The sequence below is a fragment of the Homo sapiens genome, chromosome X, assembly GCF_000001405.40.
Source record: "Homo sapiens chromosome X, GRCh38.p14 Primary Assembly".
Taxonomy (NCBI): domain Eukaryota; kingdom Metazoa; phylum Chordata; class Mammalia; order Primates; family Hominidae; genus Homo; species Homo sapiens.
In genome coordinates, this window is record NC_000023.11 from 53252792 (window position 1) to 53272147 (window position 19356).

The 19356-nt window shown below is 50.9% G+C and overlaps 1 protein-coding gene across 21 annotated transcripts in view, besides 1 other annotated feature; it reads right to left on the reverse strand.

Annotated features, from left to right (window-relative positions):
• Nucleotides 1–19356, reverse strand: part of IQSEC2 (IQ motif and Sec7 domain ArfGEF 2) — a 95538-nt gene that overhangs the window by 26979 nt on the left and 49203 nt on the right. For 20 of the 21 annotated variants that reach the window (XR_938365.3, XM_047441928.1, XM_006724582.5 and 17 more), the window contains 2 exons: nucleotides 3009–3270; nucleotides 1739–2140 (listed from right to left, as the gene is read on the reverse strand). Coding sequence is in view for 20 of the 21 variants with exons in the window: in XM_047441928.1 (XP_047297884.1) it covers nucleotides 1739–2140; nucleotides 3009–3270 (664 nt within the window). In the remaining variant the exon portion in view is untranslated. Of the gene's footprint in view, nucleotides 1–1738; nucleotides 2141–3008; nucleotides 3271–13536; nucleotides 14274–19356 lie in introns of those variants that run through there. The other variant, NM_001243197.2, reaches the window with a different exon arrangement.
• Nucleotides 3870–4465: an enhancer, noted in NCBI's record as "H3K4me1 hESC enhancer chrX:53285843-53286438 (GRCh37/hg19 assembly coordinates)". NCBI's record gives its function as "activates a minimal SCP1, AML or CMV promoter by ChIP-STARR-seq in naive H9 embryonic stem cells {active_cell/tissue: H9 hESC(naive)}" and the evidence as "EXISTENCE:reporter gene assay evidence [ECO:0000049][PMID:30033119]".

The following is a 19356-nucleotide window of genomic DNA, read 5'->3' on the forward strand; positions in this document are numbered from 1 at the left end:
TACCAAATTTGGGGGTAATTTGTTACACAGCAACAGATAACAGATATACTTCCCCATCAGACTTCAATAGCACTCAGAGCTGGGACCAGACCTGCTTCCCAGACTGATCTCCTATTTCCCATTCCTCCCTTGAGGGAGGGATCCAGGCCTGGTTTCTCTCTTTTTAGCTCAGCTCAACACATTGCTTGACACAGAAGAGATGTTCAATTAAATCTTTGTTGTATGAATGAACAGACGAATGATATAGATCTTCCCTTCAATACTCCTGTCCTTCCCTCCACCTCTTCACCAGCTCCAAGGAGGCATGCCCAGGCTGATGGCAAGGCCAGATCATAGAGGTTAGAGCAGGGTGACTTTTTCTCTTATAAAGCTTCTTCCATTCATTCAACAATCTCTACCAAGTACCTTCTTGGTTTTAGGAAGAAAACTAACGTACTTAGCAGCTACTACGTGCTAGGTGTTTTCATATATATTACCTGTATAGTTGCACCGAGTCTTCCAAACAGCTCTAAAAGGGTTTTCTCTCCATTTTATTTTCTCTCCATTTTATTGATCATGTTTCAGTGTGGTTAAACAGTTTGCCAAGGCCACACAGTTGGGAAATGGCAGAACTGGGATTCACACCTGGGCAAGTATGTTGACACACCCCAAGCCTACAACGATCACCCACTACCTTTACTGCATTACAATTCCACCCTCCACACTTTTGCTGATGCAACGCCTATGTAAGCAACACCCTCCCAAGTATTTCTAACTTGCTAAATCTTTTCTGTCTGGTAAGGTCCAGCTCCAATGCTGTTTTCTCAAACAGGTTTTCTGTGGTTCTCCCAGAAGAAAGTTTCCTCCCCCTCCTCTGGGTTCCCAAGGTACTATACATTATACTATAGCCTTTCTCATGGCTCAGAGCACACTCTACTTCAGGAGACAGTAATGCACACATATGTCTGCCATTTCCCACTGCCCTGGGATCCTTGAGGACAAGGACCAATTCCAGGTCCTTAGCCTCAGTCTCCTCCTCTATTAAATGGGAATAATAATCCCTGTCTCACAGGTCTGCTGTGAGGCATATACAGCACTGGCACACAGTAGGAGCTCACTACCTGTGAGTTAAGCTTTATTTTATAGTAGATCAAGTTCCAAGTAGTGAGAACTTTTTTCTTATTTGTTCTATACACCCATACATATTTTTTCCCACAAGAAGGGAACGACATGGAACACCCATATTTATAACTTGCTTGTTTTAACAATGTAATTTCTGGCCGGGCACAGTGGCTCACGCCTGTAATCTCAGCACTTCCGGAGGTGATGGCAGGTGGATCACCTGAGGTCAGGAGTTTGAGACCAGCCTGACCAACATGGTGAAACCCTGTCTCTACTAAAAATACAAAATTAGCCGGGCGTGGTGTCACATACCTGCAATCCCAGCTACTCGGGAGAGTGAGACAGGAGAATCACTTGAACCCAGGAGGCAGAGGTTACAGTGAGCCAAGATCGTGCCATTGCACTCCAGCCTGGGTGTCGAGAGCGAAACTCCGTCTCAAAAAAAAAAAAAAAAAAGGTAATTTCTATCTTACCAGTTCTTTCTCATTATTCTCACAGTCCCAACTCAAATGGTAGCTATTTGCTGTTATTAAATGCCTGTCACGCAACTTCTTTCAGTTTGCAATCTAGGTAAAAAGTAGCAGGAGTAGCCAGAACACGGGGATGGGGAAGAAAGGTCCTTTTCAGGGATCCTGACCTGTTTGGAGAAGGAGTCCTCAAGTTCTGTGATGTCATTAGAAAACTCTCCAGATGTGGTGACGGAGCTTCCACCACCATCGATGCCCCCACCACAGGAGCCTCCATATGGGAGCCCCCGTTCAAGCCGGTGGCTCCGGGCACCAGCCATGGCACCCTCGTCCAGCGAGGCAGGCTTGCCCTCGAAGTACGCGGGGTTCTGTGCCTTCTCATACTCCTCAAAGGAGAACTGCATCCGCATGTTGGAAAGGATGATGCGGCGGGACATGCGGCTCTCTGAGGCTGAGCTGCGTAGCCGCTCAAAGTTCTTGTTCATGCGGTACTGGCGGAAGGCTGTCTGGATGGTCCTGGCAGCCCTGCGGCTCAGGAAGGAGCCCCCATACTTCCTCTCCAGCATTTCCACCTGGCAGAGAAGGGTCGAGGGGAACAAGGTCAGAAAGTCATGGCAGCCTCATCTCCCTAGGCACTCAACCACACCACCCCCACTGGAATCATGGCTGACTGCTTACAGCCACCGAGAGCGCCAGGCTAGGTGCTCAGTGTTGTCTCCTCACTTGAATTTCAGATAACACTAGTCAAATGGGATTGGATTATGTTTTGTTTTCTTATTTGCAAGAAGAACATATTGATTATTTGAAAACAGGAAACAAACAGAGAAGCCAAAAAAAAAGAAAGCAAGGTAGAAATAAATGGAGAGCAAGAAGGAAAGAAAGGAGGAAGAAAGAGAATGAGAAAGGAGAAGGAGAGAGGGAGAGAGAAAGGCAGAGAAGGAAGGAAGGAAGGTAGGTAGGTAGGTTGAATTACCTACATTCCAAACACCTAAGCATAACTAGAATATGTCTTTTGGTGTAGGGTATATGTTTTTGTATATGTCCTTCCAGTTTTTTCCTATATGTAGTATTTTGTTTTCCCTCCACCTTTCTTTTTAGCCAAACAATCTATTGTATGGCACTCTTCTGAAAAGGTCAACTGATGTGTGTTCTTCCTGTTAGACTGAGTTTTTTGGGGACTGGATCCAGGACTCATTCATCTTTACATCGCCAGGACCCGGGCAGGGAGCTCAGTAAATGTTTCTTGAGTGAATACAAGCCTCAGTGGATGGGTGGTGAATGAGTGCATCCCCAGTGGGGTGAAGGGTCCTGGGCCAGTCTTCTCCAATTCCAGCCTCATTATCCCTCCCTGATACCACCCCCAAGAGCCACATCCCAAACCCTCCCCTGGCGCTCTCTTGCATCCCGACTCCCATTCCCAACCAGATGCCTCTGTTGCACCTTCTTGTCCTGCAGGTCTGTGGAGAGTTCATAGCTGTCCGATAGGGCCTTGGAGCGCTTTATCTCCTCCTCCTCCTGCTTCCTCAGGGCGACACTGGCTGGCTGGAGGCGTGCCCGCTGAGCCCAGGGAAGGCCCACTCCAGCAGGGGGGCCCCCCATGTGGCTGCTGGAGGGGGGCAGCTGGCTCAGCCGGTAGGGGGGTTGGCTCCCAGGACTATCAACCGCTGTGCTCAGGTCACTGCCTGGGGCATCACCCTCCACACTGTGGGGATGAGATAAGATGAGCCAGGATGTGGGGACAGGACAGGGGCCTACTGGGCCATACTGAGAGTGGGTGAGCCAGATCCCTGCCCCCCATCCCATCCACCCCAGCTTCCTCACAGATATAGGGACCCAACACTTACAGGCCACGGTGAGTCCTAGCTCTTGGACGTCTCCCCACTCCCACCCAAGTCCCCTCCCTTCCAGCCCCCCTGCCTTTACGGCAAGATCCTCTTAGACTCCTTTCCCTCAAGGCTCTGCCTGGTCCCCAGTCCTCCTCACCCCTCACAGCCTTCTCCCCTAGACCACTCTCCTCCCAGTCTTGTCTCCTCATGCCCTTTCTTCTGCCCCCTCACAGCTCCACCCCTCCCCACAGACCTCTTCCCCTTACAGCTCCATCCCCTCCTGGCCTTGTCCCCAACGCAGTGCTCGCTGTGATTTCCCTCCCAGTCCGATTCCCAGCACCACCCCAGACTAGCTCCTTCAAAGCGCCACCCCCTCCCAGCCCTGTCCCAGCTGTGTGAGGCCCACCCCTGCACACAGCTCTCCCCTCATCCGCCCAGCCCTGTCCCCTGCAGCCTGGCCCCTGCCCCCTGGTGCCTGGACTCCGGGCCAGGCCAAGCCAGTTCCCAGGGTTCCCTGGTTGCGAGGGCAGGGCCAGCAGCAGGGCAGGGCGAGCAGCAACAGTGGGAGGCGCCTCCCATCCAGCATCCTCACAGGTAAAGAGCAGCCCTGCGGGGCAGCTTCCTTTTTCTCCTCATGGCCTCCTCTGCTCAGCTGGGGGAAGGGGGCAGGGGAGTCTCCACGCGTGGCAGGAGCTGGGCCCCGGGTCTTGCCTGCCCTGGTTTCCCAGAGCTGTTGTTCCACCAGAACTGCTCCCATGGTGCCATGGCAACCAGGCTGCCAGGGAACCCAGGTGGCGACAGAGCCCAGGCGCCTTGAGCCGAGCCTGCACGGTGAAGAGCCACAGAGGTGGGGAAGACAGGGAAGGAGTCGGGCGGGAAGGAACACGCAGGTGAGGCATGGAGGAGGCTGTGGGGGGAATGGGTGTGGCTGGGACCCAGAGAATGGTCTCATTATGGGGGGCACAAGGTTGGAGGCTCTTGGCTGGTAAACAGGTGAAGGGGTACTCCCCAGCCCCTATTCGGCAGAGGCAAAGGCAAAGGGCAGAAATGGGCTGGGGTAGGTACTGGGGGGGACCCTACCAGTGCAGGAGCTGGAACTGCAACAGGCCTGCCAGCCTTGCAGCAGAGCGCTTTGCACTGGGGGCTGGATGTGGTGTGAAGGCTGCGCCCACGAGGCCCGGTCCCGGGCTGCAGCGCTGTGGAGCTCGGCTCCGCCCTGGGGAGAGCTCCCACCCATCGCTCGCTCTCCACCCCAAATTCTCTCTCCTCCTGGGCCTGGGGCGGTGGCCCTGACATCACCCCCACTCCAGGGTTCAGCCCCAGCTCAGCCCACCCCCGGCATCCAAGATGTTCCTCTCCTCCCTGCCAGGACTGCAGGATCTTGCCCATTAATCTCTCAAACCTCCCCTCCCAGCACACGGCTCAAGCCCAGTTTTGATCAACTGTCTCCTGTATGCATGAACCATCATCTATAACTTCCACTGCTCAGAAGAGATAGCCCAAGTCCCTTATTCTGGCATTTGAGGCTTCTCCAAGATACAACAGCTAATATTTATAGACCATTTAGCACATTTAGGTACCATTCTTACCACTTCACACTGAATAACTTGCTTGCTCTTCAAGACAACCGTATGAGGTAGGTACTGTAATTTATCTTCATTTTACACATAAAGAAACTGAGGCCCAGAGAGGTTAAGTAACATATCTATGGTCACACAGCTACTAATGATAGAGCCAGGATTCAAATCCAGGCAGTCTGACTCCAGAGCCCACACTCTTAAACATTAAGCCATACTTCAGGGTTGGCTGCCAGCCCCCTATTCCATCCACCCATCATTCCAGCCTGGCCCACATCCTGCTTTTCCCAAATGCTCCTCTGCTTTCTACCTCCAAAACTGCTCATACAGTACCTACCACTTGAAATGCAATCCCCATCGTCTCCGCCATCTGCAATCTGAGAAATTCCCCCACATCCTAGTTCCGTCAAGATTCAGGTCATATGCCACCACTAAGAAGCCCTCCTGAATCCCGCCTCCAGCCAGAAATTATTGCTGATCCTGTTCAGAGCTCCCACACACAGCACATGTCTGTCCTGCTTTTTATGGCACAGGTTAGCTTTGGCAAAGCATGACAGCTATTTGTGTTCATGACTCCCAGAATCCCAGCTCAGGAAGAGAATTTGATAATCTCCCAGCTAACACAGAGCACACGGCCTGGAACAGAGTAGGTGCTCAATAAAAGCTGCCGTCCAGAGGGAGTCAATGAATGTGCTCAGGAGGCTGCTCTAAGAAATACTCTCTCCTGAACTTTTACCACAGCCTCCGATCTCCTCTTCCAACCCATTCTTCACCCTGTGGCCAGTGAGAGCTTTCAAAAGTACAAATCTGGGCCGGGCGTGGTGGCTTACTCCTGTAATCCCAGCACTTTGGGAGGCTGAGGCGAGCAGATCACATGAGGCCAGGAGTTCAAAACCAACCCAGGCAACATGGCGAAAACCCGTCTCTAATGAAAATACAAAAATTAGCCGGGCGTGGTGGTGGGGGCCTGAAATCTCCTGCTGAGGCAGGAGAATCACTTGAATCCAGGAGGCAGAGGTTGCAGTGAGCCAAGATTGTGCCACTGCACTCCAGCCTGGGAGACAGAGCGAGACTCCGTCTAAAAACAAACAAACAAACAAACAAACAAAACCCACCACCACCACCACCACCAAAAGTACAAATCTAGGCCTGGCGCCGTGGATCATGCCTGTAATCCCAGCACTTTGGGAGGCCAAGGCAGGTGGATCACCTGAGGTCAGGAATTCAAGACCAGCCTGGCCAACATGATGAAACCACATCTCTACTAAAAATACAAAAATTAGCTGAGCATGGTGGGTGTGCCTGTAATCCCAGCTACTTGGGAGGCTGAGGCAGGAGAATCACTTGAACCCAGGAGACAGAGGTTGCAGTGAGCTGACATCGCACCACTGCACTCCAGCCTGGGAGATAGAGTGAGACTGTCTCCAAAAAAAAAAAAAAAAAAAAAAAAGTACAAATCTAGCTGGGCACAGTGGCTTATACTTGTAATCCCAGCTACTCCAGAGGCTGACATGGAAGGATCACTTAAGGCAGGAGTTGAAGACCAGCCTGGGCAACATGGCAAAACCTCATCTCTACCAAAAATACAAAAAATTAGCCAGGTGTGGTGGTGGGCCCCTGTAGTCCCAGCTACTTGGGAGGCTGAGGCACGAGAATCGCTTGAACCCGGGAGGTGGAGGCTGCAGTGAGCCAAGATTGTGCCACCACACTCCAGCCTGAGTGACAGAGTGAGACTCCATCTCAAAAAAAAAAGTATTGCCAGGCATGGTGGCTCAGGCCCATAATCTCAGCACTTTGGTAGGCTGAGGTAGGAGGATCACTTAAGCCCAGGAGTTCAAGACCAGCCTGGGCAACATAGGGAGACCCCGTCTCTACAGAAAATAAAAAATTAGCCAGGCGTGGTGGCGCATGCCTGTGGTCCTAGCTACTAGGGAGGCTGAGGCAGGAAAATCGCTTGAGCCCAGGAGGTCAAGGCTGCGGTAAGCCGTGATCCTGCCACTGCACTCCAGCCTGGGCAACAAAGTGAGACCCTGTCTCAAAAACAAAAACAAAAACAAAAACAAAACTGTACTAACCTAACTATTTCATTCTCTCACTAAAACCCTTCCACAGCGCCAGATAACTCACTCAACAAACAACAACTGAGCACCCTCTGTATGCCAGGCACAGTGCTGGGTGCTGGAAATATACTAGTGAGCAAAATGCACGAGAACATTCTCAGGGAGGTGATGTTCTAGTGAGGGAATGGGTGTGGCTGGGACCCAGAGAATGGTCTCATTATGGGGGGCACAAGGTTGGAGGCTTACAGAAGAAAGAAACAAGTAAATATATCCTGCCATTTCAGGTAGGGGTGAAGTGCTAGGAAGGAAAATATAGCAGATTGCGAAAAGGTGCTGTTTGAGAAGTGGTGCTCAGGGAAGGCCTTTCTGGAGCAATGGCATATAAGCAGAGTGCTGAGGGAAGTGAGAGGAAGTTGCATGGCAAAGGCAGAGCAGTCCAGAGAGAGGGTACAGCCAGCGCAAAGGCCCGGAGGTAGAACTGTGTCTGGCATGTTCGAGAAACAGTGAAGAGGCCAGTGTGGCCGGAACAGAGTGAATGAGAGGAGATAGGAGGTAAGATCAGAGAGGTCATGGGGGCCAAATCGGAAAGGGCATGAGCCTACAATAAAGACTTTGGCTTTTGCTCTGATTGAGGTGAGCAGAGGAGGGACATGATCTAACTTGGGTGTTCCAGGAATCAGCAGCCATGGGATAACCTTCAACTTCCTCACTGTGGCCATGGATGGCTCTCCTGACTTGACCCCCACCTCATATATTCTCTGCCCCATTGCCCCAACCTGGCTACCTCCTGCTCAGCCTTCAATGCTCTGCTCAGGTATGCCTTTCCATGCCTGCCTGCCTCCTCCACACAGGCTGTCTTACACCCGCTCCTCTCGGGCTGCAGTAGGGCCCTGTTGTCACCTCTAATTCCTAGGGCAAAGGCACTACTTAGCTCATTGAATTCTTGAAACTTACCAAGGCAGGCACCATTAGCCTCATTTCATAGATGAAGACACTGAGGCTCAGAGAGGTGACATAAACTTGCTCAAGGTCACATAGCTATTAAGTAAAAAAGCTAGGATTCAAACCCAGGGCCCAGGCTTTTCATGACATCTTGTTGCCTCTCCTCACTCCCGGCTCCGTGCTGCCCCTGGCTCTGCACTCTTTGGCAATTCCTCCCTTGAGAGCTCACCCCCGTTTTGGTTGCAAAGGGAATAGTGGCAGGGAGATCAGGCTGTCAGCACAGCCTCCCACAAGGGAGCCTGGCAAAAAAAGGAGGGTGCTTGACGGCGTTGCTTCTGACATCATACATACTGCTGAAGAAACAGCACTGGGGATGTGGAATCCCTCAAGTCAGAGCCCCCAGAACAACACTCGGGGACATGCTGATCACATGGAAAATCTCTCTTCTTCTCTTTCTCTCGCACACATACACACACATGCAAACACACAGAGAGAGAAAGAGCCTGTTGTAGAGTAAGACGCTGGGCAGGCCAAGGCTCAGGTCCTGACTGCCACTGACCAGCTGTGTGAGCCCGTGCATGTCACTTTTCCTCTCTGCAACTCAGTTTCTCATCTGTGCAGGGGTCAAGCAAAACCAACTCCCTCTTTGGATTCCTGGACTTCAGAAACGGTCTGGGAGCACCCCCTCTCTGGACTCTTCCCAGCCAGGAGCAAAACATCTGCATGTGCACACACACACACACACACACACACATACACTCACACACATGCATGCAGAGGTACAATAACACAGACACATGCAAAGGCAGACAAACCTAGAAACAAAAACACATCCACAGACACAAGAAAATAGACACAAACACATGCAGACATGCACATATACGGACACAACCACACACACACACTCACACACACACACACACGCCCATGTGCGCTGTCTGCTGGGCTATTCTGTGGGGGAAATTGGAGAGCATCCTCTGCAGAGGGGGAAATAAGCTATGCTACACAAATAACCACAGTACAAAGCAGAAAGTTATCAGGGCTGGGGAACAGAGGAAGTGCTGGGGGAGTGCAGGAGAGAGATCCCTTCTGTTTGGGGGTGGTTGAGCAGAATAAAAATAAACTCGCACTTACTGCGCACCTTCCCTGTGTCAGGCATTTTCCACACATTATTTAATCTGCATGGCAAACGTGAGGGAAGAATTAGGATTCCTATTTTGCAGATGAAGAAAAAAACTCCAAGAGGGGAAATGACTGCCAAAGGTCTCAGAGCTAGCAAGTGGCAGGACAGAGATTCAAACCCCAAAGCTTGTGCTAGTTCCTCTGCTGCCCGGAAGGCTTCCTGGGGGAGGAAGCTTGTGGACTGGGTCTTGCCTGGAAGGAGTTGGTAGAGATGAAGAGTGAGGGAACCTTGTGTGCCAAAGCACTAAGATGGGGAGAAGCAGTGTAGGATGTTCCACAGGGATCTGGGGCTGGCCTGCCCATGGCAGGGGCACTAATCCTCCTCAAATGCTGCTTCTAATGGGAGGTCTTCTCTCCCTCCTTCCCTTTATTGGCACTGCCCGGAACCAGGCAGCCAGCAGGGGATGGGATCAGGATGCAGTTGTCATGGAAACGAATGGGGGCTGTTGCCATGGATATCATAAGATGAGGGCAAGAGGAAGCTAGGGATGGTGAGGACTATCCCCATGACAACTTAGGTGGCAGTGGGGGGAACGGGACGGACTGGAAGTAGAGACAAGAAAACAAGACGAGGAAGGTCATTGCACCTGGATGGGACCAGGGGCTTTGGGTTCTGGAAGGAGCAGACTGGGCCAGGAGACTGGACCCAGTGGCAGGGGAGAGAGGAGGCAGGGGGACTGCAGCCACCTCTCCCTCCAATATTTCTTCTGCAAGCTAGTTCTGCTGCCCAATCCCAGTGTCACAGGGATCTAAGCCCTAGCCCAGCCTGGCTTGGCACAGGAACTGACAGGGAAGAAAGCAGCCTTCAGAGGAGCTGAGCTGCATACACGGGCTTTGGGAGCGCAAGACCTGAGCTTGAATCCCAGCTTTGCTGCTGTGCAGCCCTAAAAATAATAGTTGTCATTTATTGAGTTGTCATTTTGCTAGGCTGAGCAACACTGCAAGGTTTGGGTTGTTCTCTCTGAGGAGGACAGCACAGATGATGAAACTGAGGTACAGAGAGATGAAGTAACCTGCCCAAAGCCTTGAAGCTCAGCACTGGTGGAGCCAAGATTCAAACAAAAGTGTATCTGAACACAAAGCCCGTGCTCTTACCACCACCCCACCCTCTGTCCCAGGCACTATAAGCAGTCCCTTCAAGGTACAGTCCTCGCATTCTTCATCTCCCCGTGCCTTCCCACAGTGGCACACAAAGGATCGCATGCTGGGTAAATATTTGTGGAGTGGGTGAACGAGGAAGCAACCCGGGAGGAAGCAGGAAGGACTGAGGTTAGATGGAAGAAGCTCCTGACCTCAAGAGCGATGACTCATGGATGTGGCTAGCCAAGGGTGGCAGAAGATGCACAGAGCTGGGATGGACTGGACGGACTAGGCTTTATGAACCATCCAATCCCACAGACCCAAATGGAGGCCCAGAGAGTCAAAGTGACTTGCCCAGGGTTGCACAGGACAAGAATCCCCCTCACCTCTGGCCAGCATCCCACTCTTAGCTTCAGAAGCCCCTCTGAATCTGGCCTGTCTCCCCACCCCTCACCTCCCACCCTGCCCTGTAAGTTCCTCAATGTCACAGGCAATAGCAGGTTACTTGCAATTCCTAGACTACAGCAAGCTGATCCACATAACCAAGCCCATGCTCATACTCTTCCTTTGTTTCTTCTGCCCAGAATGTCTTCTGTCTCCCCTTCACCCCCCGACTTGCTTGATCTGGGTGAGCTCATCTTCATCTTGCAGTACCCTGGGCAGGTTGGTCCTTCTGGGAAGTCAATGCTGACTCACTCCTGCCGCTCACGGAACATGACAGGGTCAGTGACTCCCTCCCCTGTGTCTTATGCATACCCATATTATCACAGTCAGTCTTTCTTCCTGGCTAACTTGTGGTTCTCTCTTAAAGTGTCCGTCTCCCACCCCACACCCCCGTCCTGTTTCCCAAGGGCAGCGGCCCGGTGTGATTCACCTTTGCGGACCTATGGCACTCATGCCAGTACTAAGCACACAGCAGTTACTCAGCAGCCACCCTGGGTCCTCGAAGACCACAGGTAGAAATCACGTGTGTCTGTGTGTGTGTGACCATCCTGCCTGACAACTGTCACCCTAAAGGCCACAGCCTCACGTGCTTAAAAGCCACCCACACCCAGCCTTGTGATTACATCCACCAGACACAGACATCAAGGCTGCCAGGTACATAAAGTCACCACTTCACACAATCAACCTCACACTCAGAATTCCTCACACCCAGTCTCACATCATCACATTTCCTCAGCTCTGCAGCAGTGTGCACAGTCTCACAACTGTGAGACCTGCAGAGCCTTGTGCAAAGACATGTGTGAGGATGGCCGGCCACATGGAGGCCATGCGTGCACACATATTTCTCTCACGGCTGATCAAAACCCCACCCCCTTCCCACAGCACAAGCCCTCTGCCCGATTCAGCCAATTCAGTTGCCCACGGGTCGGGAGGGTCATCTGACCCTGACTTGCCCCCTCCCCCCATGTAGTTGAACCCCCGTCCCCACCCCCACACTTGCTTCTCTCTCCATTCAGCGGAAGGGTAGAATGGTCTCCTCGTCCCCAGCCCCAGGTCACCTACATTCACACACCCTGGAGAGCAGAATAAACAGAGTAATGTACCCACCATTCCCCTGCATGACCCTGGAGCGCTCCCCCAGGTTTTTGTCTATGCGGTCCCTGTCTCCTATAATGCCTTCTCACCCCTTGCCACCTTTTCAAACCCTTACCAGCCTTCAAGGCTCAACTCTTGCACCTCTTCCTCCAGCAAGCCCTCCTGGACACCACACCTCCCCACCCACCTTGACATCTCCTTCCTCTCTGGGCCAGGAACAAAATGTGCTCATTACTGAAGCCGTTCCTGTCCAATCATGTTAACCCTTTGCATCCTTCCTACTTTCCCAAAGGATTTCTCATCTCTCATCTCCCCTGGGAGATGGAGAGCTCGCAGAGGACACAGCCACTGTCATGCTTAAAAAAAAAAAAAAATCTTTTTGTAGAGATGAGATCTCACTATGTTGCCCAGGCTGATCTGAAACTCCTGGCCTCAAGCCATCTGCCTGTCTCAGCCTCCCAAAGGGCTAGGATTACAGGTGTGAGCCACCACACCTGGCCTCTGTCTTACTTTGGATCTCTCACAGTATTTAGCGTCAGGTCTTATACCCAGTAAGGGCTCAAACAATGCTTTGTTGAGTAGAATGAGGAAGAGTAAATAAGGGAGACAGGCAGGGAGGGAGGGGAGAAATAAATGAGACTTTGAATGGGTGAATGAGTAGATGAGTTGAGCGAGTGAGGCAATAAGTGAGGGAAGGAGGTGAGGTTCTAGGAAACCTAGAGGTTCAATGTGATAGAGATGCTGAAGGGAGGGAGGAAAGAAAAGACAGGAGAAAACTCTCACCTGGGCCTTAATCAAAACAAGAGCCACCAATCACAGCACACTTGCCCAACAGTGCACAAGCTCCTATGCTGGGCTCGTTGTGTTCTTTCTTGCTAATCTTCATGACAACCCAGAGAGGTAGGTATATTCTCACTGTACTCAGGAGGAAAACAAAGCTCAAGGAGAAGAAAAAACTTGCTCAAGGTTATACAGATGTAAGTGGCAGAACCAGAAGGTAAACTCAGATTTGTCTAATACCAAAGGCTCAGACAGGAAAAGTCGGGGGTATGAGCCCACTTCAGACACATCATGGAAGGTGTGAGTCCTACAAACCCGTAAAGGACATCTTCCACCCTCCAGCTGAGAGCCTCCAGGGAGTCTTAGAACCAGCCTCTGCCCAGGTGCAGGGAATATTTAGGGTCGTTGCATTGGAGGGAAATGGCTTCCTCTCAGATTCAGAGATCCCTAAAGTTGTAGAATCAGAACCTTAAAAGTAAACGATCAAGGAATCTAAACATTGCAGAATATTAAAATTGCATCATCAGAATTTGTTCAAATGGTAGAATTATGCAATCTTAAAACCACAGGACTGGAAAATCCCAAAATCACTGCATTGTAGAAATAGAAATCATAAAATTGCAGTGGAATGTGTCACTGAATCATTGTCTATTAAATTCACATAATCATAGCTTCTTAAAACTGTAGCATCTCAGATTCACAAAATGTCACAGCTGGAAGAGTCATTGGAGACCCTCTAATCCAACCCTTCTCCTTTTTATAGATGTCAAAGAGGTCATGCGACACATCCAAGGTTAGCCTGCCCGTGTTGGGAGTCATTCATGCATTTATTGAGTGCCTCCTGGGTGTTGACAAAACCACGAATCAAACCCTACTCTCTTTCCCGGCCCCTATTCCCAGCCCTGGATAGGAAAGAAGGCAAGGCCCTGGTGGGGATTGGAAGAGGGAAGTGGGGGTGGGTGGAATATACATCAGACAGAGAGAAGAGATCAGCTTTTATTGATGGAAATTCCTTTGTACACAGCAACACGCACTCTGAGAGGCCTTTTCCTCCTGATAATATTTACAGAGCACTATGGGAGTGGCAGAGGGCATGGGGTGAGGCCTTCAAGCAGTGGAGGAGATGGCAGCAATGGCCACAGCAAGGGAACAAACGACAGGGAACTAGGCAGGCTGGGTCCTGCCCCCGTCTGGTCCTCTGAGCCCTAGGCACCCTGCATCTCTGTTTGTGCTCACAGAGGACAGAGGTAGGTCCTTGGGATGTCATTTGGAGACCTCTCCAGTAGTGGCAGGCTCCAGGGTGCCTGGGAAGTGGGAGTGCGGGTACGGGAGGATCCAGGTTCCAAGCTCCAAGCTCCAAGCTCTGCTTCTCCCACATTTTAGTCGGACCTAGGGCTCCAGCTCTCTTTAATTCAGGGGCTGGAGTCCAGAGGAGACAGCAGTGGGGATGGGAATTCCAAGAAGAAGGTGGGGGGAGGAAGGGGCACGATGCTTGCCCATCTGGTTCCTGAAGCAGGGGACAGGGTCCCATGGGGGAATCTGCGGGGGGGTGGGTGGGGGGAAGGAGGGGCTGGTTAAGGCTTTTGCTTCTGCATAGAAAATGGCCCTTGTCCTCTCAGTTACCGAGAGGAGGGACTACTGCACTCGGAGGCCGGACAGCAGAACTGGTGAGCGTCTTCCTCTTCCTCTTCCTCAGTCTCCTCCTCCTCCTCCTCTTCCCTGGGGCCAGGAAGGGCGGGGTAGAGGCCACAGGCGGTGGGTGACAGAGAGAGGCAGAGGCATTAGTTTGCAGAGCAGGGGAGATACGCGAAGGGCCAGGACCGGAACCAGAAGGTGGGACGAGAATGGGGGTCAGGGTGGGGAGGCCAGTGTGATGGATTATCCAGGGTCACACCCAACTCAGTGTGCTGGGACAGCCCTCCCCCACACCCAGCCTGGGCTCAGTCTTAAGGTCACCCTCAGCGTATATCAACTCCCTTTCTAACCCTGCCAGGTGCCTGACCCTCATTTTAATATAATAACAGCAACCTGCTCTCATTTTGCACGCATCATCTCACTTAGCCCCTACAACAGCTCTGCAGAGGAGCATTTTAGAGATGAGGGAATTAAAACTCAGAAAGGTTAGATAACTTGCTCTAGGTCACACAGCTGGGTAAGTGGTAGAGTCAGGATTTGAACCCAGAGTTTTTGGAGCTCCAAGTCTCAGACTCATCCCACTAGGTCCTTTGGGTGAACTTGGCACTATCTCTAGAAACCCACCCTGCTCTTGAAGGACAAGGATTTGTATTTCCTGAAGGTTCAGGCTCAGGAAAATGGGAGATACTTGGAAATGGAGTACGGAAAGCCCACAGCTTTGGAAGCAAACAGACCTGGGTTCAAATCCCAGCTCTACAAGTGGTTCCAGGCTATATGCCCTTGAGCGCATTATTGTCACTCTTGGAGCCTCAGTTTCCTCGTCTGTAAAAATGGGGCTCGTGATGTGAACCTCCCAGGACTGTTGCAAGAACTAGAACATATATCAAGTGTCTGGCAAACACCAGCAATGGGAACATGGTGGTGATTATTGTTAACTACTCGTGAGCTGAATCTAATTCCCAAAGTGGCCGTCTGCCCACACAGAAGCAGCCACAGCAGTGGGAGAAGAGTCGCTGCAGGAACAAGCACCTATCCCTAGGGTGCTGCTGAGCAGTACCAGGGGCCAGGCTGCATGTGGCATTCACTGGTGCTGGGCTACAGTTTCATATGGTGGATGGACAGACAGTTGGGCTGGGAGGGGACCAGGTGACTTGGGAGTGACAAGGCTGACCTTCTGGGGACAGACAAGGAAACAGTTACCCTCATTCCCAGACCCCTTGGCTCAGGGGATGCAGGAATTATGGAATCCAGGAGACTGGAAGAATGGGAAGAGGTGGGAAGGAACGCAGACAGGGAAGTGAAGGGAAAGGAAAGGAAGGCATTGCTGTCCATCTGATGCACAGACAAGCACACACACGCACGCACACGCCTTTCTCAGACTCAGAGCTCCCTCTGACACATTGTTCCACGGACTTCCTGAATCAGCAAAATCACATGAAGCAGGGCGCAAGTTCTGGGCAAGTAGCCCTCCCTTTCTGAGTGTCCCATTCCTCATCTATAAAAACAGAAGATCCACACCTCTCCAGGCTGTCATGAGGAACAAGTGATATTCCATTCCCACTGCTCACTCCCCTCTTTTCCAGGCGAGGCCCCTGCTTCCTCTCCCCCTAACACTGCAGTCACCTCCTGATTTCTTCTCCCTCCCTTCTTGAACCACATTAGCCTTCCTAAAGCCCACCTTCAAGCATGCATCTCTTCTGCTCAGACACCCACTGCCTCCTGGATAAAGTTCAGGGTCCTCAAGTTGGCATTCAAGGCTCTCCCACCATATGGCCTCACCAGGCCTTTCCTGTTAGATGGCAAAAGCACAGGCTATGGAATCAGACGGACCTGAGTTTCAATACCAGCCCCATCATTTACTAGCCGGATGACCTTGGGTCCATTTCTTCACCATTCCAGGACACACTTTCCTTACCTGCAAACTGAGGAAATACCTATTCTGCAGGGTGCAGTGGGACTAAAGGAATTCAAATATGTACTAAGCAAGGCTGGTGCTTAGTGCATGGTAACTATTATTATAACGGCCATTATAGTGGTATCCATGTTCCCTACTCACTGATGCCCAGCCTTCATCAAGCTAGCTTGTTCATTATTCCATCAGCATGCCTGGCCTTTTCACATCTCTATGTGTGTGCTGATTCTGTTTCTTCCACTTAGAATACTCTTCCCTCTGCACAGATCTTTGCCTATTACCATCCTTTCTGAATTTCCTGACCCAGCTCAAGTGCCACTTCCTAAGGAAGTCCTAGCCAGAAGTATTCTCTGCTTCCTTCCAGCTCCAGCATCCGTTCCCTTGGCCAGGGCTCTCCATTTGTTGCTTTGAACTTTCCTGAAGCATTTCTTTCACCAATCCCCCAATACCCTTGTATCCCCACCACTATCACTGCTTTGCTCCTCTGTAAGAAAGAGGGGGCCCCTCTAGCATTTAGGGCCAGTCTCTCCACCTGGACTCTGGAGCCCATCCCCATTACCTCCTCCACAACAATCATCCCCTCTCCCTCCTGCGTTTTCAACCTCTCCCCCTCTGTTGCCTCCTTCCTATCAACATTTATAGAAGCTCAAGTCTCTCCCATCTGGGAATAAAAACCCTCTATCTGCCCCCACATCCCCCTCTGTCCCTCTCTCCTCTTCACAGCTAAGCTTCTTCTTAAGAAACCCGTCTACACTGGCCATCTCTGCTTCACTTCGGTACCTCCCACGAGCTCTTCGACCCACTCCAATCTGCCTCATGCGCCCACCACTCCATGGAAGCTGTTCTGAGGAAGGTCGCCCAGGCCCTCCTGATGGTTAAAGCCAATAGACTCTCTTCCGCCCTCGGCTTACTAGCCCAGGCTGCAACATTTGACACTCTTAACAAGGCCCTCCTCTGCATGGCCCTTTCCTTCCTCTGCTTCTGTGAGCCCACCCCCACTGCTTTTCCTCCTACTGCTCTGACCCCGCCCCCATTTCTTCCTGGGCTCCTTCCCTACGCGTTGGTTTCCCCTTCCCAATTCTGCTCTGGCCCTCTTCTCTTTCACTCCACACTTTTTCAGTGATCTCATTCCATTTCATAACTTCAGGTGTAGATCCCTCTCCTGGGTCCCGGACCCGTCGAGCCCAATGCTTGCTGGACAGCTCTACCAGGATGGCCCTTTGGGCCTTCAGCTCTCATAGGGACCTCTGACTCAGCATCTCACCATTGTCCTTAAGGCACCACCATTCATCCAGTCACCTGAGCCCAAAACATACCTTGGAGTCACCCTAGATTCTTCCTGCCCTCTTAGCAAGTCAGTCACCAATTATTGTGGACTCTACCTCCTAAATAGCTCTAAAAGATAGACTGTGATGTTGCCCCTACCATCTCATCTTCTACTCCTCTCACTCCTTCTTCAGCCTTTTCCCCATCACACTGGTCTCCCTGCTGCTCCCCAAACAGACCAAACACACTCTTGCCTCGGGGCCTTTACACCTGCGGTTCCTTCTATCTGGAACATCGTCCCTGAGAGGTACACGGCTCACTCTCTTACCTCCTTCAAGCCTCTGCTCAAATACTGCCTCATCAGAGAGGCCCTCCCTCTCAAAAGGCACCCCAACATTCTCTACCTTATCACCCCAGCTTTTTCTTCATAGCACTTATCGACATCAGATACACTCTAGACATTTAGTTGTTTATTTATTTTTCTGTCTCACTCACTGTAAGATCCATCAGGACAGGCATCTGTTCTGTTCAGTGCTAAACCCCTAGTGCCTAACACAGTGCCTGGCATTCAATAAATATTCAGTGAATGAATGAATCCAGTGCCAGGCATGAACACTTGAACTTACTGCGAACTCCAGCCTCTGTCATCTCCACCTCCTCCTCTCTCCCCGGTTACCTCTTCAGTCTCTGACTCCAGTCCTCTCTTCCTCCTGATCACCTCTCAAATCCATCTCCTCGGCTCTATGCCCACGACCTTGGCTTCTCTCTCCCTTGGATTACTGCATAGCCTCCTCCCTCATTTCCCTTCTAAAACGCTAATTTGATCATGTCACTTTTCATCTTTTCCTATTCAAGAACTGTTCATGGCTCTCCAACTGCCTACCAAAAAAAAAATAAAATAAAATAAAAAGCCTATACTCTTCAGACAGCTGCTTGAGGTAAGCCTGACCTCTGCACCCTCCAATGTCTGATTTCACCTTGCTCACCTCCAGGCCTTTGCGGACACTGTCAGCACCTCCTCCCCCATCTCTAACTCTCAGAATCCTCATGGACCTTGAATGACTGGCTTAAACACAGCTTTCTTCAGGAAACTTGACCTAACTCACAAAGCAAAAGTAATTCCTCTGCAAAATCCGCAGGGAAATGAGTATTGCCAGTGTCACTTGGGATCTCTGAGAACCAGGGGTAGGATGAAAGTTAGTAAATATGTCTGAGACTAAGGACTCTGGATGCTGGGTGAGCATTAATAGAGGTTCCCTTTTCCCCTTGCACTATCACCCTGGCATGGACTCATGTCCCTCTGGCCCTCTGCTAACTTTGACTCATCCTCGCCTCTTCCCTTTCCCTCACCTTATACATCCACAACAGTTTATATCATCTGACACTTCTATTGAGTCTATCTCATTAATAACTCTCAAAGGATTTGGATTCTATAATTTGAAATTAAAGTGCTTCTCAACAAATGGTGCTCACTGGAGTCGTGCAACACCGTAGCCCTGCTCAAATCCATTTCTTCTCTGCCAATACCCCAGTTTAGGCCTTCCAGCTGGTTTCCCTGCATACAACCCATTTTTCATACTGACTGCTAATGTGATGTTTCTAAAACACAAATTTTGCCAAATTACTCTCCTATTTAGAATCCATTCAACTGACACTTTGTCACCAACAATATTGGTTCTCAAGCTTTTTGAGGGGAATGCAAACCCCTTTACCAATTTAATGAAAGCCATGGACCATCTCTTCCACCAAAAAATGCACATAGGTATATGAATGCAACATTTTGCATTCAATTTCCGGAGGTTCGTGGGGTTCCTGAAGCCCATCTGAGACCCATGCACCCCAGGTTAGGAACTTCTGGCCCTTCCCAATAACATCCCGTTTCTTTTCCATATGCTGTATGCTATTCCTTCTGCCTGGAATGCTCTTCCACACTTCACCCTTCTGTCCCTGGCTCTTACTTAACCTTTAAGACCCAGCTCTTAGGCTGAG